The sequence below is a fragment of the Homo sapiens genome, chromosome 1 (assembly GCF_000001405.40).
Source record: "Homo sapiens chromosome 1, GRCh38.p14 Primary Assembly".
NCBI lineage: Eukaryota > Metazoa > Chordata > Mammalia > Primates > Hominidae > Homo > Homo sapiens.
In genome coordinates, this window is record NC_000001.11 from 43,092,388 (window position 1) to 43,118,091 (window position 25,704).

General features: G+C 41.8%; 1 annotated feature.

Moving 5' to 3' along the window:
• Positions 9,432–9,936: an enhancer, noted in NCBI's record as "H3K27ac-H3K4me1 hESC enhancer chr1:43567490-43567994 (GRCh37/hg19 assembly coordinates)". NCBI's record gives its function as "activates a minimal SCP1, AML or CMV promoter by ChIP-STARR-seq in naive H9 embryonic stem cells {active_cell/tissue: H9 hESC(naive)}" and the evidence as "EXISTENCE:reporter gene assay evidence [ECO:0000049][PMID:30033119]".

The window sequence follows — 25,704 nt, forward strand, 5'->3', positions numbered from 1 at the left end:
CTGCTGTCTCAGTCTCCCAAGTAGCTGGGACTACAGGTGCGCGCCACCACGCCCATCTAATTTTTGCATTTTTAGTAGAGACAGGGTTTCACCCTATTGGCCAGGCTGGTCTTGAGCTCCTGACCTCAAGTGATCTGCCCGCCTCAGCCACCCAAAGTGCTGGGATTACAGGCGTGAGCCACCATGCCCCTCCAGGAAACTTTTAAAGACAAAAAAAGAAGTCCACATAAGGTATTTTGAAACAAAGACCATAGGTTACAGGGGCTTGTTGCAGGAGCTGGCATCAATTCATTGGTGGAGACACTTGTTGCTAGATAAATGTCCTTGTGCCAGTGGTTACCTGGAATACAGCAGTCTTGAGGAAGTTCTTGTGATAAGTCCTGTTACTGGTCTATGTGCAGGAATTTCTTGTGGTAAGTCTTGTTATGAGGATGTATGCATAAGGGCTTCTTTTTCATGGCCTCCCCTGACTCCATTTTGTTAGAATTTGACATAAATGACTCCCTTTTGGTACTGGCAACTTTCACAGCTTCTTTTAAGAAATGCTGTATCTCAGTGCTAACAATGGTACAGAGAGAAATATTGTAAATGGACACCTCTGAATTTAAATGCAGCTCAGAAGAGTCAGACTATAAAGAGGCATTTTAGGACTACTTTTACATATGTATTTCACTGGGTAATGCACTCACAAATTTATTTCCTCTTCATGCAGGCACAGAAGTGATATATAATAACAATTTAAGAAAGCCCTTTTAATACCTATTTAATGGAAATTCAATGTGATAAAAAGCATGTTATAGTTTTATTGGTAGAGTTTTTTCTTAGTGGTACATAAAATAATGATGTTCTTAAAAACGGACATCTTAGATTTAATTACACGCAGCAGTACATACAGGACACTTAAAATGATATATGCTACATAGTGTATGCAAAAAATTGTAGCTGTTATTACTACTGTATCATTTTAGTTGTGTTTCTGGAGGAGGGGGAAGAGAACTCCCACTTTTTGTGTTAGTCAAGTATGGGAAAAACAGGGTCGGGGAAGACCTCTTAAAACCATTGCAGCTTTGTAATCACAGCAACGATAAGTGCAAAAATGATCCTAATGAAAAAAACTCACAAACTTTAAAAAAGGTTAAACTCCTAATGAGAAATAACTGTGAATTTAGGACTTTAGCTTAAAAGATGAAGGTAGCTTGATGAAGAGGATGTAAAGAAGGGATATAAGTGCTGATTTATGGAGATAAGTATAAAATACACAAATACCAGGGGAAACTTTACATCAGTTACTTCCATGACAGAGCTGTGGCCAAAAGGAAGACTGTGGAGCAAATGAGTATGATATACACGATGGATCAGAGTCTCCTTAGCTTGCTGCAGTCAGTCACATTAGTGTGCTCAAATTCAAATGTTGTTAGTTGGTGGTGGAAGGCATTAATATTCCGGAAAAATTACATATGAACCAGTGTAATGACTACCTAATAATGGCTTCATTCCCCTATATGCTAGTCACATGGAGCTAATCTGACTTACAGATGCTTGACTTAGAGCAGAACAGACTGAACATTCAACATTCTTAAATAAAAGAATTTTCTTTTTTCTTTCTTTTTTTTTTTTTTTTTTTAAGATGGAGTTTCACTCTTATCACCCAGGCTGGAGTGCAATGGCACAATCTCGGCTCACTGCAACCTCTGCCTTCTGGGTTCAAGTGATTCTCCTGCCTCAGCCTCTCGAGTAGCTGGGATTACAGGCATGTGCCACCACGGCCGGCTAATTTTGTATTTTTAGTAGAAACGGGGTTTCTCCATGTTGGTCAGGCTGGTCTTGAACTCCTGACCTCAGGTGATCTGCTTGCCTTGGCCTTCCAAAGTGCTGGGATTACAAGCGTGAGCCACCGCGCCCGGCCCAAGAAAAGAATTTTCAACACAGAATTTCATATCCAGCCAAACTAAGCTTCATAAGTGAAGGAGAAATAAAATCCCTTACAGACAAGCAAATACTGAGGGATTTTTCTCACCACCAGGCCTGCCTTACAAGAGCTCCTGAAGGAAGCACTAAACATGGAAAGGAAAAACTGGTACCATCCACTGCAAAAACATACCAAAATGTAAAGACCATTGAAACTATGAAGAAACGGCATCAACTAATGGACAAAATAACCAGCTAGCTTCATAATGACAGGATCAAATTCACACATAACAATATTAACCTTAAATGTAAATGGGCTAAATGCCCCAGTTAAAAGACACAGACTGGCAAATTGGATAAAGACTTAAGACCTGTCGGTGTGCTGTATTCAGGAGACCCATCTCACGTGCAAGGACACACATAGGCTCAAAATAAAGGCATGGAGGAAGATTTACCAAGCAAATGGAAAGCAAAAAAAGCAGGGGTTGCAATCCTAGTCTCTGATAAAACAGACTTTAAACCAACAAAGATCAAAAAAACAAAGAAGGGCATTACATAATGGTAAAGGGATCAATGCAACAAGAAGATCTAACTATCCTAAATATATATGCACCCAATACAGGAGTACCTAGATTCATAAAGCAAGTTCTTAGAGACCTACAAAGAGACTTAGACTCCCACACAATAATAGTGGGAGACTTTAACACCCCACTGTCAATATTAGACAGATCAACAAGACAGAAAATTAACAAGGATATTCAGGACTTGAACTCAGCTCTGGACCAAGAGGACCTAATAGACATCTACAGAACTCTCCACCCAAAATCAACAGAATATACATTGTTCTCCAGCACCACATAGCATCTATTCTAAAATTGACCACATAATGGGAAGTAAAACACTCCTCAGCAAATGCAAAAGAATGGAAATCATAACCAACAATCTCTCAGACCACAGTGTAATCAAATTAGAACTCAGTATTAAGAAACTTACTCAAAACCACACAACTATGTGGAAACTGAACAATCTGCTCCTGAATGACTACTGGCTAAATAACAAAATTAAGACAGATATAAATAAGTTCTTTGAAACCAGTGAGAACAAAGACACAACGTACCAGAATCTCTGGGACACAGCTAAATCAGTGTTTAGTGGGAAACTTATAGCACTATATGCCCACAGGAGAAAGCAGGAAAGATCTAAAATTGGCACCCTAACATCACAATTAAAAGAACTAGAGAAGCAAGAGCAAACAAATTCAATTCAAAAGCTAGCAGAAGACAAGAAATAACTAAGATCAGACCAAAACTGGCAAGACAATCCTAAGCAAAAAGAACAAAGCTGGAGGCATCATACCACCTGACTTCAAACTATACTACAAGGCTATAGTAACCAAAACAGCATGATACTAGTACTAAAACAGATATATAGGCCAATGGAACAGAATAGAGGCCTCAGAAATAATACCACACATCTACAACCATCTGATCTTTGACAAACCTGACAAAAACAAGCAATGGGGAAAGGATTTCCTATTTAATAAATGGTGTTGGGAAAACTGGCTAGCCACATGCAGAAAACTGAAACTGAACCCCTTCCCTACACCTTATACAAAAGTTAACTCAAGATTAATTAAATATTTAAATGTAAGACCTAAAACCATAAAAACCCAAGAAGAAAACCGAGGCAATACCATTCAGGACATAGGCATGGGCAAAGACTTCATGACTAAAATACCAAAAGCAATTGCAACAAATACCAAAATTGACAAATGGGATCTAATTAAACTAAAGAACTTCTGCACAGCAAAAGAAACTATCATCAGAGTGAACAGGCAACCTACAGAATGGGAGAACATTTTTGCAATCTATCCATCTGACAAAGGGCTAATATCCAGAATCTACAAGGAACTTAAACAAATTTACAAGAAAAAACAAACAACCCCATCAAAAAGTGACAAAGGATACGAAGAGACACTTCTCAAAAGAAGACATTTATGTGGCCAGCAAACATACGAAAAAAAGCTCATCACCACTGGACATTAGAGAAATGCAAATCAAAACCACAATGAGATACCATCTCATGCCAGTTAGAATGGTGATCGCTAAAAAGTCAGGAAACAACAGATGCTGGAGAGGATGTGGAGAAATAGGAATGCTTTTGGACTGTTGGTGGGAGTGTAAATTAGTTCAACCATTGTGGAAGACAGTATGGCAATTCCTCAAGGATCTGGAACTAGAAATGTCATTTGACCCAGCAATCCCATTACTGGGTATATACCCAAAGGATTATAAATCATTCTACTATAAAGACACATGCACACGTACATTTATTGCAGCACCATTCACAATAGCAGATGTGAAACCAACCCAAATGCCCATCAATGATAGACTGGATAAAGAAAATATGGCACATATACACCATGGAATACTATGCAGCCATTAAAAAGGATAAGTTCATGTCCTTTCCAGGGATATGGATGAAGCTGAAAACCATCATTCTCAGCAAACTAACACAGAAAAAGAAAACCAAACACCGCATGTTCTCACTCATAAGCAGGAGTTGAACAGTGAGAACATATGGGCACAGGGAGGGGAATATCACACACCGGGACCTGTTGAGGGGTTGGGGGTGATGGGAGGGATAGCATTAAGAGAAATACCTAATGTAGATGACGGGTTGATGTGTGCAGCAAAACACCATGGCACATGTATACCTATGTAACAAACCTGCAGGTTCTGCACATGTATCCCAGAACTTAAAGTATATATATATATATATATATATATATATATGTATATATATATATATATATATGTGTGTGTGTGTGTGTGTGTGTGTGTGTGTGTTTGTGTGTGTGTGTGTATAACCCTCCAAAAGACTCCTAGATTTGATAAATGACTTCAGTAAGGTTTTAGGATACAAAATCAATGTACAAAAATCACCAGCATTTCTATACATCAATAACAATCAAGCTGAGAAGCAAATCAAGAACTCAATCCATTTACAATGGCTACAAAAATACCTAGGAATACATTTAACCAAGGTGAAAGATCTCTATAATGAAAACTATAAAACAATGATGAAAGAAATTGTAGATGACAGAAAGAAATTCAAAAGTATCCCAGGCTCATGGACTGGAAGAATCAATATAATTAAAATGACCGTACTGCCCAAAGCAATCTGTAATGCAATTCCTATAAATTACCGATATCATTTTTCACAGAATTAGAAAAGAAATCCTAAAACTCATATGGCACCCCATAAAAGCCTGAATAGCTAAAGCAATTCTAAGCAAAAGGCAAAAAGCTGGAGGCATCATATTACCTGACTTCAAGGATATAGTAACTGAAACAGCACGGTACTGATATAAAAATAGACACACAGATCAATGGAACAGAACAGAGAACTCAGAAATAAAGCCACATACCTAGAAGCAACTGATTTTTTACAAAGTCAACAAAAATATACACTGGGGAAATGGCATCCTATTCAATAAACGGTGCTGGGAAAATTAGATAGCCACATGCAGAAGAATGGAGGAAGGCCCATATCTCTCACCACATACAAAAGTTAACTCAAGATGTGTTAAAGACTTAAAAGTAAGACCTGAAACTGCAAAAATCCTAGAAGAAAACCCACAAAAAACTCTTCTGGATATTGGCCTAGGCAAACCACTTATGACTAAGACCTCAAAAGCAAATGCAACAAAACAAAAAATAGACAAATGAGACTTAATTAAACTGAAAAGATTCTGCACAGCAAAAGAAAAAATTGACGGAGTAAACAGACAACCTACAGAATGGGAGAAAATATTTTCAAACAATGCATCCAACAAAGGACTAATTTTCAGAATCTACAAGGAACTCAAACAGTTCAACAAGAAAAAAACAACCCCATCAAAAGTGGGCAAAGACATGAACAGACATTTTTAAAAAGAAGATATACAAGTGGCTAAAAAACATACAGAAAATGCTCAACATCACTAGTAAGATGAGAAATGCAAATTAAAACCACTATGAGATACCATCTTACACCAGTCAGAATGGTTATTATTAAAAAGACAAAAAAGAACAGATGTTGACGTGGGTGTGGAGAAAAGGGAATGCTTATACACTGTTGGTGGGAATGTAAATTAGTACAACCTTTGTGGAAAACAGTATGAAGATTCCTCAAGGAGCTAAAAATAGAACTACCATTCTATCCAGCAGTCTCACTACTGGGTATCTACCCAAGGAAAATAAATAATTTTATAAAAAAGACAACTGCACTTGTACGTTTATCACTACACTATTCAGAATAACAAAGTCTTGGAATCAACCTAAGTGTCCGTCAGTAATGACTGGATATATACCATGAAATACTGTGTAGCTGTAAAATGAATGAAATGGTGTCTTTTGCAGCAACATGGATGAAACTGGAGGTCACTGTCCTAAACGAAATAACTCAGAAACAGAAAGTCAAATACCTCACGTTCTCACTTATAAATGGGAGCTAAACAATGCGTTCACATGGACATACAGAGTGGAATAATAGACATTGGTCCCTCCAAAATGTGGGAGGGTGGGAGGAAGGTGAGGGGTGAAAATTTATCTACTGGGCACAATGTGCACTATTTGGGTTATGGGTATGCTAAAAGCCTAGACTTTACCACTACACAGTATATTCATGTAACAAAAGTGCACTTCTACCCTCTAAATCTATAAAATAAAAATTAAAATGAAAGAAATGAATTAAGGATCAGAAACTTGCTTTGCATCGCATGGTTGGTGAGTGATGATGACACCAGGAATCAGATCCAGGACTTCCCAGCTCCATAGCCCATGCTTTTTACACTTACATTGCAAAGCCCACTTCAACCAAATTTCTCTGATTCCTCACATCCTCTTCTCGCACAATTTATACCCCAAAATAAGCCAACCTTTCCTGGATGAACTCTTAGCCATGGCTTCCTCAGGCTAAAGTTTTGAAGCATGGCAGGTTAGCAGAGCCAAAAGATAGTTGGGTTTTGCTTTAAGTGTTTTCTCAAGTTGTTAAAACTGGCTCTCAAATTGGTATCTTTAATTAGTAACTGAATTTACTAATATTGTATAAGGTTTGTGAATTCAGAGTGAGTAGAACATTGCCTTTTCTTTGCTTATTTGCCTTATTATAGAATTTCCAAAGTTTATCTTGGTCATAACTCCTGACTTGGGGCCTTCAAGTGATATTAGGCCCCTGAGAGTAATTCTCCTTTGAATCCAGAGCCTTCTGATCTTATGAAAAAGGAGATGTTTGTCTTTCCCTAGACTTTTTTTTTTTTTTTTTTTTTGAGATGGAGTCTCACTCTGTCGCCCAGGTTGGAGAGCAGTGGCTCCAGCTTGGCTCACTGCAGCCTCTGCCTCTTGGGTTCAAGTGATTCTTGTGCCTCAGCCTCCCGAGTAGCTGAGATTTCTCTAGACTTCTTGTGTCTTTCTTGTGGTAGAAGCAGGAAAAAAAAAAGAATTAAAATTGTTACAGCATATGAAAAAAAATCTCAGGACTAGGTTCCCTAGAATTTGGAAACTTTTGTTTATGATTTTTTTCTTCTTTTTTTGGGAAACATTTCTGGTTTCTCTCATCAGGAAGTTTGTTTATATATACAATAGTTAGTTGCATGGGTAGTAGGTTGTGTTTAGCAATGTCCCTGAGTGTGGCTCACCAAGGGGTTGGCATTTGGTTTAGCTTTTGCAGGTGAGGTGTTCTTAGGAACTTTGATATTGATTGAAGATTTGGAGGTGATCAGAGGTGAGTTCATTGCAGCAAAGAATATTGTCGCATAGGTTAGTTTACTCTCTTTTTTCTTCTTATATGTGTGTGTTTCTTTATTTTTAGCCTGTTCTTGCTATGTGATTATTTATTATGATTCCTGCTGCCTAGCATCAATTCTTCTCTATTTTCCAATCCTCATTCTCCAGCCTTTTATTATTTCTGTTAACCCCAATAACTTCCCTTATTGCTTAAAAAAAGCTCTTTCATATCAACAGCCCTGATACAATTATTGCTGGTATATATAGCAAAACTATTGACTTCAATACTTTATTTTATTTTATTTTATTTTTTTGAGACAGGGTCTCACTCTGTCACCCAGACTGGAGTGCAGTGGTGCAACCATGGCTCACTGCAGCCTAGACCTCCTGGACTCAAGCAATCTTCCTGCCTTGGCCTCCCAAAGTGCCAGGATTACAGCTGTGAGCTACCATGACAGGCTTTATATGTTATTTTTATATCAGGCCATCTCACTAAACACTCCGTTTCAATGCTTGTCCTGAATTTTGAATGTTAATTCTAATAGTTTTCTCCATTGATTACCCTGCCTCAGAATTTCTGGCTATTCAGATTATCTGCAAACAATCTATAAGTAAGAGAAAATTTTTGTCTCTTATTTTCTTAAATTTGTGCCTCTTGCTTCTTGCTCTTGTATTGAGTAAGACATCCAGAAAAATACTGAATAGAGGAGTGACAGAATGAGATTTGCTGTAGTTTTTAGTTTTGGATACATATAAGGCTTACTTATATTTCTAGATTACTAAGCATTTTTAAAAGAAGTCAGTGTTGAATTTTATGGAATGTCTTTTCAGCAACAATTAAGTTGATCATGGTTTTTCTCTTTTCCTAGGTTAAACCATCCTAACATTTCAGTGTTGATAGTAGTGGTAATCATAGCATTGATACTTGACGTTTATCAAGTGTTATTATGCCATTCAGTATTCTTAGTTCTTTATGCTCAACTTAGCATCATAACTCTTTTACAACATGTTTGGATGTCGCTCTTCTGGCCAGAAGCCTCTGTGGCCCATGGCACCTTTGCCCAATTTTTGCTTGGGCCGCTGGGCTCATTCTGCCCACTTGATCTGGCAGGCTGCACTTGGCTCATGTTACCCAGCTGGATCCTATGCCTGCCAAGGGTGAGCCAGGCATGGAGTGGTGAGGAGTGTGTGAGAGAGTGTGAGGTCCAGCCACTGTGCAGTCAGACATGCCAGCTGCTGCTGTGGGGCAGGCAGCTCCAAGTGCCAGCATGGGTGCCAGCTCTCTGCAAGGCTGTGGCAGGTCCAGGTGCATGGCAAGCAGCTTCCTCAGCTGGCACTGGGGAATGCAGTAGTGCCTGAAAGCTTGGAGATGCCAGGCACCACAGGACCACAAAGAGGGAGTAACAGCTTTGGCTCAGGGAGCTCCCAGGTCTGGGATCCCCAAGGGGTTGCAGCTCTTCTCTCCTTCTCTTTGCCCACAATGTGGCAAGCAAGGGACATGTTTCTGCCCTGTTTGTGTTACAGCTGTTAGTTCTGCCATTTGGTCAGTCCTGAGGTCTTGTCCTGCAACCAGGAAGAATGAGGTAGACAGAGAAGTGGAGGGTGAGTAAGATGAAGAAAATGTTTATTGAACAATGGAAGAGCTCACAGGACACCTGCAGGGGGTAGCTCCTTTCTGCAGCTGGGGTGTCCCAACGAGTGTTCAGCTCCTAGCACAGGAGACCCTGGAGTGGGAAGCTCCTCTCTGCAGGCAGGTCATCCTGTCATCTCTGCAGCTCTCAGCAGACAGAAGGCCCTGGAGTGGGTTTCTTCTTCCTGCAGGCAGGCCTTCTGGTAGTCTCCTGGGGTAGCTCCTTTCTGCAGCTGGTCTGCCCATCCTCTGCTCAGCTCTGGCTGAGCCCAGGGCTTTTATGGGCCTCAGAGGGGAGGAAGTGCCTGCCAGTTGGCCCATGGGTGGCCATGAGTGGCCAGGAAAAGGCACCACAAGTTTCCACTCCAGTCTGTGGGACTGGCAGCCCAGCCCTCAGCCTTCAGGCCCTTACTGGCCTGAATGTGGGGCCTCACCAGGGGCCCACCCCTTCCACCATCTTCTGTCTGCCTCCTGCCACCATTCATGGCTTCTGGGCTCATAGCAAATTTGCTTTGAGATCAGAGCCAGTGCTGACAGCAGGGAGAAGCCAGGCAGCAGGAGCAGCCACTTCTGAGCCTGCAAGGGCAGGGGTGCCTTCCTGGGCACCCAAGAGTACGGGGATGCCTGAGTCTGCAGCTGCAGTTTGTGTGGCTGCAGCTGCACAGAAGTGGGGAGGGGGGCAGGGCTCCTGCCTGCTCCATGAAGGGGGAGACCTCTGTGAAGTATAGCCATGGTTTGGGTGGCTGCAGCTTTACCTGAGAGTTCAGGGAGGCTGAGATCTGCAGCCATAACTTGGGGGACTGCAGCCACAACTTGAGCAGCTGCAGCCCAGCCCAGAAAGGCAGGGCTTCTGCCTCCTCCATGGAGTAGGAAGCCCAGGTCTGCAGTGTGCTTTGGGTGGCTTTGAGTGGCTACAGCTGTGCCCAGTAGGGCAGAGATCCTGCCTGCTCCATGGAGCAGGAGGCCATGTCTGCAGCCCTTGTTTGGGGGGCTGCAACAGCACCTGGGGAGCTCCTGCCCAACTCGGAAGGGGTGAGGTTCTCATTTGTCCCCTGCTCCCTCAGGCTCCATGGCACATGCAGCCCCAGCGGCACCTCCCTGCTGCAGTCCAAGTGATGGCAAAGGCAGGCCGTCTGGAGCACCGCTACTACTGTATTATTACCATGTCAATTTATGAATGAAGAAAATGAGGTACTGAAAAATGTAAAAACTTGTCTCTAAGTTAGCCACTTTTTGGCCATGACATTATTATTCATTTAGAACCCTGCTGATTTTAATTTTCCTGATTTAATTTTCTTCAGAAATTTTACAACTATATTCATAAGTGAAATTAGTCTATGATTTTCTGTTTTCGTGTGCTGTCATCCAGTTTTAATATAAAGATTATGTTTTTCTTGGCCGGGCACAGTGGCTTACGCCTGTAATCCCAGCACTTTGGTAGGCCAAGGTGGGCAGATGACGAGGTCAGGAGATCGAGACCATCCTGGCTAACACGGTGAAACCCTGTCTCTACTAAAAATACAAAAAAAATTAGCCAGGTGTGGTGGCGGGTGCCTGTAGTCCCAGCTACTCGGGAGGCTGAGGCAGGAGAATGGCGTGAACCCTGGAGGCAGAGGTGGCAGTTAGCCGAGATCTCACCACTGCACTCTAGCCTGGGTGACAGAGCAAGACTCCATCTCAAAAAAAAAAAAAAAAAAAAAAAAAAAAAAGATTATGTTTTTCTCAAAGCATTAGTTTGGAAATGTTCTTCCTTTTTCTGTGCTCTGCTGTTTCCCATTTCATTTTCTAAATTAGTTTGTATTATATTTAATAATAGCAACCATTTACTGAGCACTTACTTGGGTTAGGCACTATGTAAAACCCTTAACATACATTAGGCTATTTGTTCATCACAATTGAAAAACATATACTTTTTTATTTATAAGATGTATTAGTTCTTTCTCATGCTGCTATAGGGAACTGCCCAAGACTAGGTAATTTATAAAGAAAAGAGGTTTAACTGACTCACAGTTCCACATGGCTAGGAAGGCCTCAGGAAACTTACAATCATGGTGGAAGGCACCTCTTCACAGGGTGGCAGGAGAGAGAATGAGCGCAAGCAAGGGAAATGCCGGGTGCTTAAAAAACCATCAGATCTCGTGAGACTCACTCATCATTATGAGAAAAGCATAGGGGAAACTGCCCCTATGATCCAATTACCTCCACCTGGTCCTGCCCTTGACAAGTAGGGATTATTACAATTCAAGGTGAGATGTGGGTGGGGACACACAGCCAAACCATATTATAAGATTTTTTTTAAGTTTATTTGTCCAAGGTTACACAGCTAATATGGGTAGATAAGGGTATGAATCTAGGCTATCTCACTCTAGAGCTGGGTATATTCTTAACTTGAGTGTCAGGAGTGTGGGGGAGACTATATCTACAGGTCCAACTTGCTCCTGGACAGAGGATGTATGCAGAGGAGATGCCTCACAAATGCCCAGAGTGTGGTTGGAGATGCAGTCATAGCTCCCAACTTGCAGTGCATCAGATAACCCACACAGAACAGAAACTGTATTGTTGCTTCCAGTGTGGGGAAAGCTTCAGCCCCAGTTAATTTCTTTTTATGCATAAAAGAGCCCACACAGGGGAAAGGCCTTCAAGCATTTAGTATGTGGGAAAAACTTCAGTTAGAGCTCAAGTCTCATTGCTCATTAGAGAACCCATACTGGGGAGAGACCTTACAAATGTCCCACTTGTGGGAAAGGTTTCGGCAACAGTTTTAATTGTATCACTCATCAGAAAAGTCATTCTTGAAAACAAGTGTTAAATGACCAATATGGAAAAAGGCCTTGCAACCACTAGTGCCTTAATTGACTGGTTATGTGGTAGGAAGGGGGGGAATCCTGACTGATTTAGAGTCAGACAATGTGTATCTCTCTCTCTAAAACCTATGTAAAAAGTCTGTTTCTGAATTAAAAAAAATTTTTTTTTTTTTTGAGACAGAGTCTCACTCTGACACTAGGCTGGAGTGCAGTGGCATGATCTCGGCTCACTACAACCTCCGCCTCCCTGGTTCAAGTGATTCTCCTGCCTCAGCCTCACAAGTAGCTGGGACTACAGGCATGCACTACCACACCCAGCTAATTTTTGTATTTTTAGCAGAGACAGGGTTTCACCATGTTGGCCAGGATGGTCTTGATCTCTTGACCTCGTGATCTACCTGCCTCGGCCTCCCAAAGTGCTGGGATTACAGGCATAAGCCACTGCACCAGACCTCTGAATTACAATATTCACCTCTTTTGCTGCTGTGTCTGTCCCACAGACCCTGCCCGATGGATGAAATGAGTACTCAGACACAGGTATGCAGTGTAAGAGCAGCTAAGTGACTGCCTGGCTCTAGTGGCCAGAGAGCAGCCCTGAGAAGCTGGAACTGCTTGCTTTTATTCAGTGCAGGCACAGTGTGGAAAACCTGGAGCCCACACAACCTGTAGGTAATTAACATTTGTAGTTCCCCTTCCAGGGTGTGTTATGCACATGGATAATCAAAAATCAGTTCCTTGTCAACATTAGTAAACAAGCATGTTTAAGATAAATTCCCCCACACTCTCTAATGGTGTGAAGTAGTATCTCATGGTGTTTTTGATTTGCATTTTACTGGAGGCTAATGGTGTTGAGCATCTTTTCGTGTGCTTGCTGGACATCTGCATATCTTCTTTGGAACAATGTCTATTCAGATCTTTGCCTACTTTTTCATTTGTTTATTTGTCTCCTTATTGAGTTGTAAGTGTTCTTTGTATATTGTAGATATAAGTTTCTTATCAGATATATAATTTGCAAGTATTTTCTCCCATTCTATGGGTTTTTTGCTTTCTTGATGGTGTCCTTTGCAGCGTAAAAGTTTTAATTTTGATGAAATCCAATTTGTCTATTTTGTTTGTTTGTTTTTGCTTGTACTTTTGGGTCAGATTTAACAAATTATTGCCTAATCTGAGGCCATGAAGATTTACCCTTTATTTTCTTCTAAGAGCTTTATTTTATGTCATTTATATGTGTGTGTGTGTGTGTGTGTGTGTGTGTGTGTGTGTGTGTGTGTGTGTGTGTATATATATTTTTTTTTTTTTTTTTTTTTTTGAGACAGTTTCCCGCTGCCACCCAGGCTGGAATGCAGTGGCATGAACACAACTCATTGCAGCCTTGACTTCCAGGGCTCAAGCAATCTGCCCTCCTCAGGCCCCCAGCTAGCTGGGACTACAGGTGCATGCCACCACATCCAGCTACCTAAGAGCTTTCTATTTTTAGCTTTTACATTGAGATCTTTGATCCATTTTGAGGTAATTCTCATATATTATGTGAGGTGGGAGTCTGTATTAGTCAGTTCTCACATTGCTATGAAGAACTACCTGAGACTGGGTAATTTATAAAGAAAAGAGGTTTAATTGGCTCATGGTTCCATGGGCTGTACTGGAAGCATGGGTGGGGGAGGCCTCAAGAAACTTACAATCATGGCGGAAGGTGGAGTGGAAGGAGGAACATATTACATAGCCAGAACAGGAGGAAAAGAGCAAAGGTGGAAGTGCTAAGCATGTTTAAACAACCCGATCTCATGAGAACTCACTATCATGAGAACAGTAAGGGGGAAATCTGCCCCCATGATCCAATCACCTCCCAGTGTGTCCAGAATTGGTGGGTTCTTGGTCTCACTGACTTCAAGAATGAAGCCGTGGACACTCGCGGTGAGTGTTACAGTTCTTAAAGGCGGCGTGTCCAGAGTTTGTTCCTTTTGATGTGTGGATGTGTTTGGAGTTTCTTCCTTCTGGTGGGTTCGTGTTCTCGCTGGCTCAGGAGTGAAGCTGCAGGCCTTTGTGGTGAGTGTTACAGCTCTTAAGGCGGCGCGTCTGGAGTTGTTTTTTCCTCCCGGTGGGTTCGTAGTCTCAATGGCTTCAGGAGTGAAGCTGCAGACCTTCGCAGTGAGTGTTACAGCTCATAAAGGCAGTGTGGACCCAAAGAGTGAGCAGCAGCAAGATTTATATCAAAGAGTGAAAGAACAAAGTTTCCACAGTGTGGAAGGGGACTGGAGCTGGTTGCCACTGCTGGCTGGCACAGCCTGCTTTTATTCTCTTATCTGGCCCCACCCACATCCTGCTGATTGGTCCATTTTACAGAGAGCCAATTGGTATGTTTTACAGAGAGCTGATTGGTCCGTTTTGACAGGGTGCTGATTGGTGCGTTTACAATCCCTGAGCTAGACACAAAAGTTCTCCGTGTCCCCACTAGATTAGCTAGATACAGAGTGTCAAATGGTGTATTTACAAACCCTGAGCTAGACACAGAGTGCTGATTGGTGCATTTACAAACCTTGAGCTAGATACAGAGCGCCAATTGGTGCATTCACAATCCCTTAGCTAGACATAAAGTTTCTCCAAGTCCCCACCAGATTAACTAGATACAGAGTGCAGACTGGTGCATTCACAAACCCTGAGCTAGACACAGGGTGCTGATTGGTGTGTTTACAAACCTTGAGCCCTTGAGCTAGATACAGAGTGCTGATTGATGTATTTACAATCCCTTAGCTAGACATAAAGGTTCTCCAAGTTCCCACTAGACTCAGGATCCCAGCTGGCTTCACCCAGTGGATCTCGCACCAGGGCCGCAGGTGGAGCTGCCTGCTAGTCCCACGCGGTGCGCCCGCACTCCTCAGCCGTTGGGTGGTAGATGAGACCAGGTGCCATGGAGTGGGGGGCAGTGCTCGTCGGGGAGGCTTAGGCCACACAGGAGCCCACGGGGGAGGGAGGGGGGCAGAGGGGTGGTGAGGGGCGGGGGGCAGGGGGTGGTGGGGGGTAGGGGGGCGGTGGGAGGTGGTGGGGGGGCGGGGGGGTGGTGGGTGGTGGGGAATGGGGGGGTGTGGGGGTGGTGGGGGGCGGGGGCGTGGATGGGGGGTGGGAGACTCAGGCATGGCGGGCTGCAGGTCCCGAGCCCTGCCCTGTGGGGAGGCAGCTAAGGCCTGGTGAGAAATCCATCGCAGCGCTGTGGGCCAGCACTGCTGGGGGAGCCGGCGCACCATCGGCAGCTGCTTGCCCAGGTGCTAAGCCCCTCACTGCCTGGGCCAGCAGGGCCGGCCAGCCACTCTGAGTGTGAGGCCGCCAAGCCCACGCCCACCCGGAACTCCAGCTGGCCCGCAAGTGCTGCGCGCAGCCCCAGTTCCTGCCCGTGTCTCTCCCTCCACACCTCCCTGCAAGCCGAGGGTGCCGGCTCTGGCCTTGGCCAGCCCAGAGAAGGGCTCCCACGGTGCAGCAGTGGGCTGAAGGGCTCCTCAAGCATGGCCAGAATGGGCACTGAGGCCGAGGAGGCACCGAGAGTGAGCTTTGGGGCTGCAAGGGCTGCCAGCACGCTGTCACCTCCCACCAGCAGGCCCCTCCTCCAGTACTGGGAATTACAATTTGACATGAGAGTTCAGCAGGGACACAAATCCAAAGCATATCATTCTGCCTGCGGCCTCTACTAAATCACATGTCCTTCTCACACCGCAGAATCCAATCATCCCTTCTCAACAGTCCCCCACATTTTAACTCATTTCAGCATTAACTCAAAAGTCCACAGTCCAAAGTCTCATCTGAGACAAGGTAAATCCCTTCCACTGATGAGCCTGTAAAGTCAAAAACAAGTTAGTTGCTTCCAAGATACAACAGGGGTACAGGTATTGCATAAATAAACCTGTTTAAAAAGGGAGAAATCAGACAAAACAAAGGGTCTACAGGCCCCATGCGAGTCCAAAACCCAGAAGGGCACTCATCACATCTTAAACCTGCCAAATAATCTCCTCTGACTTGATGTCACACATCCAGGCCACAATGATACAAAGGGTGTGCTCCCAAGGCCTTGGGAAGCTCTGCCCCTGTGGCTCTGCAGGATACAGCCCCCCTCAGCTGTTTTTACAGGCTGGCATTGAGTGCCTGCAGCTTTTCCAGGTGCACAGTGCAAGGTGTCACTGGATCTACCATTCTGGGATCTGGAGGATGGTGGTCCTTTTCTCACGGGGCAGTGCCCTAGTGGGGACTGTGTGGGGGCTCCAATCCCACATTTCTTCTCTGCACTGCCCTAGTAGAGGCTCTCCATGAGCACACCACCCCTGCAGCAGACTTCTGCCTGGACCTCCAGGCATTTCTATACATCCTCTGAAATCTAGGTGAAAGCTCCCAAGCCTCAACTCTTGCCCTCTGTGCACCCACAAATTTCTTACCATGTGGTAGCTGTCAAGGCTTGTGCCTTGCACCTTCTGGAGCAGTGGCCTGAGACATATCTGGGACCCTTTTAGCTATGGCTGGAGCTGGAGCAGATGAGACATAGGGAGCAGCATCCTGAGGTTGCACAGGGTAGTGGGGCTCTGGGTCCAGCCCATAAAACCATTCTTCCCTCCCAGGCCTCTGGGCCTGTGATGGGAGGAGCTGCTGCAAAGGTCTCTGAAATGTCTTTATGGCATTTTCCCCATTGTCTTGGCTATTAACATTTGGCTCCTCTTTACTTATGCAAATTTCTGCAGCCTGGCTTTAATTCCTCCCTAGAAAATGGGTGATATGGTTTGGCTGTGTCCTCACCCAAATCTCATCGTGAATTGTAGCTTCCATAATTCCCTCATGTTGTGGGAGGGACCCAGTGGGAGATAATTGAATCATGGTGGCAGTTTCACCCACAGTGTTCTCGTGGTAGTGAACAGGTCTCATGAGATCTGATGGTTTTATAAGGGGAAACCCCTTTCACTTGGCTCTCATTCTCTTCTCTTGTCTGCTGCCATGTGAGATGTGCCTTTTGCCATCTGCCATGATTGTGAGACCTCCCCAGCCATGTGGAACTGAGTCAATTAAACCTCTTTCTTTTGTAAATTGTCCAGTCTTGGGTATGTCTTTATCAGCAGCATGAAAAAGAACTAATACAATGGATTTTTCTTTTCTACCACATGGTCAGGCTGCAAATTTTCTAAACTTTTATGCTCTGCTTCTTTTTCAAATATAAGTTCCAGTTTTAGATCATCTCTTTGCTCACAAATATGGGCATAGGTTGCTAGAAGCAGCCAGGCCACATCTTGAACACTTTGCTGCTTAGACATTTCTTCTGCCAGATACCCTAAATCATCACTCTCAAGTTCAAAGTTACACAGATCCCTAGAGCAGGGGCACAATGCTGCCAGTCTCTGCTAAAACATAACAAGAATGACCTTTACTCCAGTTCCTAATAAGCTCCTCATCTCTAGTTGAGACCACCTCAGTCTGGACTTCATTGTCCATATCGCTATCAGCATTTTGGTCACAACAATTTAACAAGTCTCTCTGAAGTTCCAAACTTTTCCTCATCTTCCAGACTTCTTCTAAGTCCTCCAAAGTGTTCCAACTTCTGCCCGTTTTCCAGTTCCAAAGCCACTTCCACATTTTCAGGTATCTTTATAGCAATGTCCCACTCCTGGCACCAATTTCTGTATTAGTCAGTTATTGAATTGCTATGAGGAACTGCCCAAGACTGGGTAATTTATAAAGAAAAGAGGTTTAATTGGTTCATGGTTCTGCAGGCTATATAGGAAGCATGGGTGGGGAGGCCTCAGGAAACTTACAATCATAGCAGGGAAGGCAAAGAGGAAGGAGGGATGTTTTACAAGGCTGGAGCAAGAGGAAGAGAGCAAAGAGGGAGGTGTTACACATTTTTAAACAACCAGATCTTGTGAGAACTCACTATCACAAGAACAGCAAGGGGGAAATCCACCCCCATAATCTAATCACCTCCTACCAGGCCCCTCTTCCAATACTGGGAATTACAAATGGACTTAAGATTTGGGTGGAGACATAAATCCAAACCATATCAGGGTCCAACCTCACTCTTTTACATGTCACTATCCAGTATGTTAGTACCATTTATTTAAAGACTATGCTTTTTGCATTGAATTGTCTTGGCGCCCTTGTCTAAAATCAACTGTTCGTTAATGCATTTATTTCTGGACTATCAGTTTAGTCCACTGATTTACATGTCTATCTTTATGCCAGTAGCTGTCTTTTTTTTTTTTTTTTTTTTGAGTTGGAGTCTCACTCTGTCACCCACACTGGAGTGCAGTGGCGTGATCTCAGCTCACTGCAAGCTCTGCCTCCTGGGTTCACACCATTCTCCTGCCTCAGCCTTCCGAGTAGCTGGGAATATAGGTGCCCACCACCAAGCCCGGCTAATTTTTTGTATTTTTAGTAGAGACGGGGTTTCACCATGTTAGCCAGGATGGTCTCAATCTCCTGACCTCATGATCCTCCCGCCTCGGCCTCCCAAAGTGCTGGGATTACAGGCATGAGCCACCATGCCCGGCCACAGCTCACTGTCTTTATTACATTAAATTTGCATAAATTCTGATGTCAGGAAGTATGAATCTTCTGATCTTTTCCAAGATTGCTTTGCCTCTTCCAAGTCCCTTGAACTTCCATATGAATTTTAGAATCAGTTTGTCAAATTTTGCAAAAATGCCAGCTGGGATTATGAAAGGGATTGTGTTGAAGGTATAGATAAATTTGGAGAGTATTGTCATTTTAATAATATTGTCCTCTGGCTCATAAACATGAGATGTCTTTCCATTTATTTCAATCTTTAATTTCCTACATAATGTATTGCACTTTTCACAGAATAAGTTTTGTATTTTTGTTAAATTTATTCCTAAGGATTTTATTCTTTTTGATGGCATTATAAATAGATTTTCTTAGTTTCATTTTTAGATTCCTTATTGCCAGAATTGCTTTCTTGTATATTAATCTTGCATCCTGCAGCCTTGCTGAATTTATTAGTTCTAACAGTTTTTTAGCCAATTCCTTAAAATTTTCTATATACTAGATTATGTCATCTGCAAATATAGATAATTTTACTTCTTCCTTTCCATTCTGAATGTCTAATAAAATTTAATCTCTTGCCTAATTGTCCTGAATAGATAATCTGTGTAGTATTTTATTATGTGACTATACTATAATTTGTGTATCCATTTTACTATTGTGTATTCAACTTAGTTTTGGATTATTTTGGCTATTACAAATAATACTGCTATAAGTATTTTTACATATCTTCTGGTGTGCATATGCATTAATTAATTGCTATTGGGTATATATTTAGGACGGGAATTACTGAATCATAAGGTATGCATATGTTCAGCTTTACTATTTACTGATGAACAATTTTCTAAAGTGATTTTATCAAGTTTTACTCTCACCAGACGGACATGAGAGTTTGTTACTCCGTGTTCTTACCAACTTTTGGTATTGTCAGTTTCACACAATATGAACCATTCTGGTGGGTGTGTAATGGTATCTCATTGTGGTTTTATTTTTATTCTCCCAATGATTAATGATGCTGAACAACTCTTTACATGTTTATTGGTTATTTGAATTCCTCTATTGTAAAACACTGCCTCAAATATTTTATCCATTTTAAAAGAAGTTTGTCTTTTTCTTATTCATTTGAAGGAATCTTTTAGATATTCTAGATAGGACTCTTGCTAGATACTGTACATGTATTACGAATTTCTTCTCTTCCTCCTTCCCTCCCTCCCTCCCTCCCTCCTTTCTTTCTTTCTTTCTTTCTGTCTGTCTGTCTTTCTGTCTTTCTTTCTTTCTTTCTTTCGAGATGGGAGTCTTGCTTTGTTGCCTAGCCTGGCGTCAAGTGATCCTCCCACCTCAGCCTCCTCAGTGGTTGTGACTACAGGCACACACCACTGTGCCTAGCTCACTCTTTTAATGGCACCTTTGGAATTTCTTAATTTTCTTATCTTTTCTTTTTTCTTTTTTTTTTTTTTTTTTTTTTTTTTGAGATGGAGTCTAGCTCTGTCGCCCAGGCTGGAGTGCAGTGGCACGATCTGGGCTCTCTGCAAGCTCCACCTCCCGGGTTCACGCCATTCTCTTGCCTCAGCCTCCTGAGTAGCTGGGACTACAGGTGCCCACCACCACACCCAGCTAACTTTTTGTATTTTTAGTAGAGACGGGGTTTCACCATGTTAGCCAGGATGGTCTTGATCTCCTGACCTTGTGATCTACCTGCCTTGGCCTCCCAAAGTGCTGGGATTACAGGCATGAGCCACTGTGCCTGGCCAATTTCTTAATTTTCAAACAATCAAAAATCAAATATAAGAATATTTTTCCTTTCCTTATGGTGAATGCCTTTTGTGTGTTTTTAAATAAATCTTGCCTATCTTGAGGTCATATAGATATTTTTATCTTGCAAAACTAAAACTCTATATTCATTAAAAAAAAAAAGCCATTTTCCCCCCCAGCTTCTGGCAACCACCATTCTACACCTGTCTTTATGAATTTGACTACTCTTGGTACCTCATATAAGTGAAATTCATACAGTATTTGTCCTTTTGTGACTGGCTTATTTACTTAGAATACTGTCCTTAGGGTTCATCCATGTTGAAGTATGTGTCAGAATTTCCTTCCTTTAAGACTGAATAATATCCCATTGTATGTATATACATTTTGTTTATTTGTTCATCTGTTGAAGGATACTCGAGTTGCTTCCACCTTTTGGCTATTGTAAATAATACTACTGTGAACATGGGTGTACAAATATGTTTGAGACCCTGCTCTCAATTCTTTTATGTATATGCCTAGAAGTGGAATTGCTATGGTATATCCATAATTCTGTTTTAAATCTTTTGGGGAGCTGCCATATCATTTTCCATAGTAGCTGCACCATTTTTACAATCCTACCAACAGTGCACAAGGATTCCAATTACTCTATATCCTTGCCAATACTTGTTATTTTCTGTTTATTTAAAAAATATAATAGCCACTCTAATGGATGTAAGATGGTATCTCATTGTGGTTTTGATTTACATTTACATTTACCTAGTGGTTAGGGATGTTGAGCATCTCTTCATGTGTTTATTAGCCATTTGTATATCTTCTTTAGAAAAATGTCTAGTCATATCCTTTGCCCATTTTTTTTTTTTTTTTTGAGATGGAGTTTTGCTTTTTTTTTCGAGATGGAGTGCAGTGGCATAATCTCGGCTCACTGCAACCTCCACCTCCTGGGTTCAAGCCATTCTCCTGTCTCAGCCTCCCAAGTAGTTGAGATTACAGGCCCCTGTCACCATCCCCAGCTAACTTTTTTATTTTTGGTAGAGACAAGGTTTCACCATGTTGGCCAAGCTGGTCTTGGACTCTTGACCTCAGGTGATCTGCCTGCCTTGGCCTCCCAAAGTGCTGGGATTACAGGTGTGAGCCACCACGTCCAGCCCTCCTTTGCTCATTTTTAAATTGGAGTTTTTGCTGTTGTTGTAGAAATTCTTTATACATTCTGGATATTAACCCCTTTTCAGATATATGATTTGCGAATATATTCACTCATTCAATTGGTTACCCTTTCACTCTGTTTCTTGTGACTTTTGAGGCACAGGAATTTTAAATTTTGATGTAGTCCAAGTGATCTATATTTTATTTTGTTGCCTGTGCTTTTGGTGTAATATTCAAGAAATCACTGCCAAATCCAATGTCATGAAGCTTCCCCTTATGTTTTCTTCTACACATTTTATAGTTTTAGGTCTTACGTTTAGGTCTGTGATCCATTTTGGGTTACTTTTTGTATGTGGTTTAAGGTCCAACTTCATTCTTTTGCATGTAGATATCCAGTTTTCACACCACCATTTGCAGAAAAGACTGTTCTTTTCCTATTTAATGGTACTGACACCCTTGTCAAACATCATTTGACCACATAGAGGTTTATTTTTGGGCTCTCCAGTCTATTCCATTGGTCTTTATGTTTATCTTTATGCCAGTACCACACTGTTTTTATTACTGTGGCTTTATAGTAAGTTTTGAAATCAAGAGACCTCTGACTTTGTTTTTCTTTTTCTTTTTTATTATACTTTAAGTTTTAGGGTACATGTGCACATTGTGCAGGTTAGTTACGTATGTATACATGTGCCATGCTGGTGTGCTGCACCCACTAACTCGTCATCTAGCATTAGGTATATCTTCCAATGCTATCCCTCCCCCTCCCCCACCCCACAACAGTCCCCAGAGTGTGATATTCCCCTTCCTGTGTCCATGTGATCTCATTGTTCAATTCCCACCTATGAGTGAGAATATGCGGTGTTTGGTTTTTTGTTCTTGCGATAGTTTACTGAGAATGATGATTTCCAATTTCATCCATGTCCCTACAAAGGACATGAACTCATCATTTTTTATGGCTGCATAGTATTCCATGGTGTATATGTGCCACATTTTCTTAATCCAGTCTATCATTGTTGGACATTTGGGTTGGTTCCAAGTCTTTGCTATTGTGAATAATGCCACAATAAACATACGTGTGCATGTGCCTTTATAGCAGCATGATTTATAGTCCTTTGGGTATATACCCAGTAATGGGATGGCTGGGTCAAATGGTGTTTCTAGTTCTAGATCACTGACTTTCACAATGGTTGAACTAGTTTACAGTCCCACCAACAGTGTAAAAGTGTTCCTATTTCTCCACATCCTCTCCAGCACCTGTTATTTCCTGACTTTTTAATGACTGCCATTCTAACTGGTGTGAGATGGTATCTCATTGTGGTTTTGATTTGCATTTCTCTGATGGCCAGTGAGGATGAGCATTTTTTCATGTGTTTTTTGGATGCATAAATGTCTTCTTTTGAGAAGTGTCTGTTCATGTCCTTCACCCACTTTTTGATGGGGTTGTTTGTTTTTTTCTTGTAAATTTGTTTGAGTTCATTGTAGATTCTGGATATTAGCCCTTTGTCAGATGAGTAGGTTGTGAAAATTTTCTCCCATTTTTTAGGTTGCCTGTTCACTCTGATGGTAGTTTCTTTTGCTGTGCAGAAGCTCTTTAGTTTAATTAGATCCCATTTGTCAATTTTGTCTTTTGTTGCCATTGCTTTTGGTGTTTTAGACATGAAGTCCTTGCCCATGCCTATGTCCTGAATGGTAATGCCTCGGTTTTCTTCTGGGGTTTTTATGGTTTTAGGTCTAACGTTTAAGTCTTTAATCCATCTTGAATTGATTTTTGTATAAGGTGTAAGGAAGGGATCCAGTTTCAGCTTTCTACATATGGCTAGCCAGTTTTCCCAGCACCATTTATTAAATAGGGAATCCTTTCCCCATTGCTTGTTTTTTTCAGGTTTGTCAAAGATCAGATAGTTGTAGATATGCGGCGTTGTTTCTGAGGGCTCTGTTCTGTCCCATTGATCTATATCTCTGTTTTGGTACCAGTACCATGCTGTTTTGGTTACTGTAGCCTTGTAGTATAGTTTGAAGTCAGGTAGTGTGATGCCTCCAGCTTTGTTCTTTTGGCTTAGGATTGACTTGGTAATGCGGGCTCTTTTTTGGTTCCATATGAATTTTAAAGTAGTTTTTTCCAATTCTGTGAAGAAAGGCATTGGTAGCTTGATGGGGATGGCATTGAATCTGTAAATTACCTTGGGCAGTATGGCCATTTTCACAATATTGATTCTTCCTACCCATGAGCATGGAATGTTCTTCCATTTGTTTGTATCCTCTTTTATTTCCTTGAGCAGTGGTTTGTAGTTCTCCTTGAAGAGGTCCTTCACATCCCTTGTAAGTTGGATTCCTAGGTATTTTATTCTCTTTGAAGCAATTGTGAATGGGATTTCACTCATGATTTGGCTCTCTGTTTGTCTGTTGTTGTTGTATAAGAATGCTTGTGATTTTTGTATATTGATTTTGTATCCTGAGACTTTGCTGAAGTTGCTTATCAGCTTAAGGAGATTTTGGGCTGAGACAGTGGGGTTTTCTAGATATACAATCATGTCATCTGCAAACAGGGACAATTTGACTTCCTCTTTTCCTAATTGAATACCCTTTATTTCCTTCTCCTGCCTAATTGCCCTGGCCAGAACTTCCAACACTATGTTGAATAGGAGTGGTGAGAGAGGGCATCCCTGTCTTGTGCCAGTTTTCAAAGGGAATGCTTCCAGTTTTTGCCCATTCAGTATGATATTGGCTGTGGGTTTGTCATAGATAGCTCTTATTATTTTGAAATATGTCCCATCAATACCTAATTTATTGAGCGTTTTTAGCATGAAGGGTTGTTGAATTTTGTCAAAGGCTTTTTCTGCATCTATTGAGATAATCATGTGGTTTTTGTCTTTGGCTCTGTTTATATGCTGGATTACACTTATTGATTTGCGTATATTGAACCAGCCTTGCATCCCAGGGATGAAGCCCACTTGATCATGGTGGATAAGCTTTTTGATGTGCTGCTGGATTCGTTTTGCCAGTATTTTATTGAGGATTTTTGCATCAATGTTCATCAAGGATATTGGTCTAAAATTCTCTTTTTTGGTTGTGTCTCTGCCCAGCTTTGGTATCAGAATGATGCTGGCCTCATAAAATGAGTTAGGGAGGATTCCCTCTTTTTCTATTGATTGGAATAGTTTCAGAAGGAATGGTACCAGCTCCTCCTTTTACCTCTGGTAGAATTCGGCTGTGAATCCATCTGGTCCTGGACTCTTTTTGGTTGGTAAGCTATTGATTATTGCCACAATTTCAGATCCTGTTATTGGTCTATTCAGAGATTCAACTTCTTCCTGGTTTAGTCTTGGGAGAGTGTATGTGTTGAGGAATTTATCCATTTCTTCTAGATTTTCTAGTTTATTTGTGTAGAGGTGTTTGTAGTATTCTCTGATGGTAGTTTGTATTTCTGTGGGATCGGTGGTGATATCCCCTTTATCATTTTTTATTGTGTCTATTTGATTCTTCTCTCTTTTTTTCTTTATTAGTCTTGCTAGCGGTCTATCAATTTTGTTGATCCTTTCAAAAAACCAGCTCCTGGATTCATTAATTTTTTGAAGGGTTTTTTGTGTCTCTATTTCCTTCAGTTCTGCTCTGATTTTAGTTAATTCTTGCCTTCTGCTAGCTTTTGAATGTGTTTGCTCTTGCTTTTCTAGTTCTTTTAATTGTGATGTTAGGGTGTCAATTTTGGATCTTTCCTGCTTTCTCTTGTGGGCATTTAGTGCTATAAATTTCCCTCTACACACTGCTTTGAATGCGTCCCAGAGATTCTGGTATGTTGTGTCTTTGTTCTCGTTGGTTTCAAAGAACATCTTTATTTCTGCCTTCATTTCGTTATGTACCCAGTAGTCATTCAGGAGCAGGTTGTTCAGTTTCCATGTAGTTGAGCGGTTTTGAGTGAGATTCTTAATCCTGAGTTCTAGTTTGATTGCACTGTGGTCTGAGAGATAGTTTGTTATAATCTCTGTTCTTTTACGTTTGCTGAGGAGAGCTTTACTTCCAAGTACGTGGTCAATTTTGGAATAGGTGTGGTGTGGTGCTGAGAAGAATGTATATTCTGTTGATTTGGGGTGGAGAGTTCTGTAGATGTCTATTAGGTTCACTTGGTGCAGAGCTGAGTTCAATTCCTGGGTATCCTTGTTGACTTTCTGTCTCGTTGATC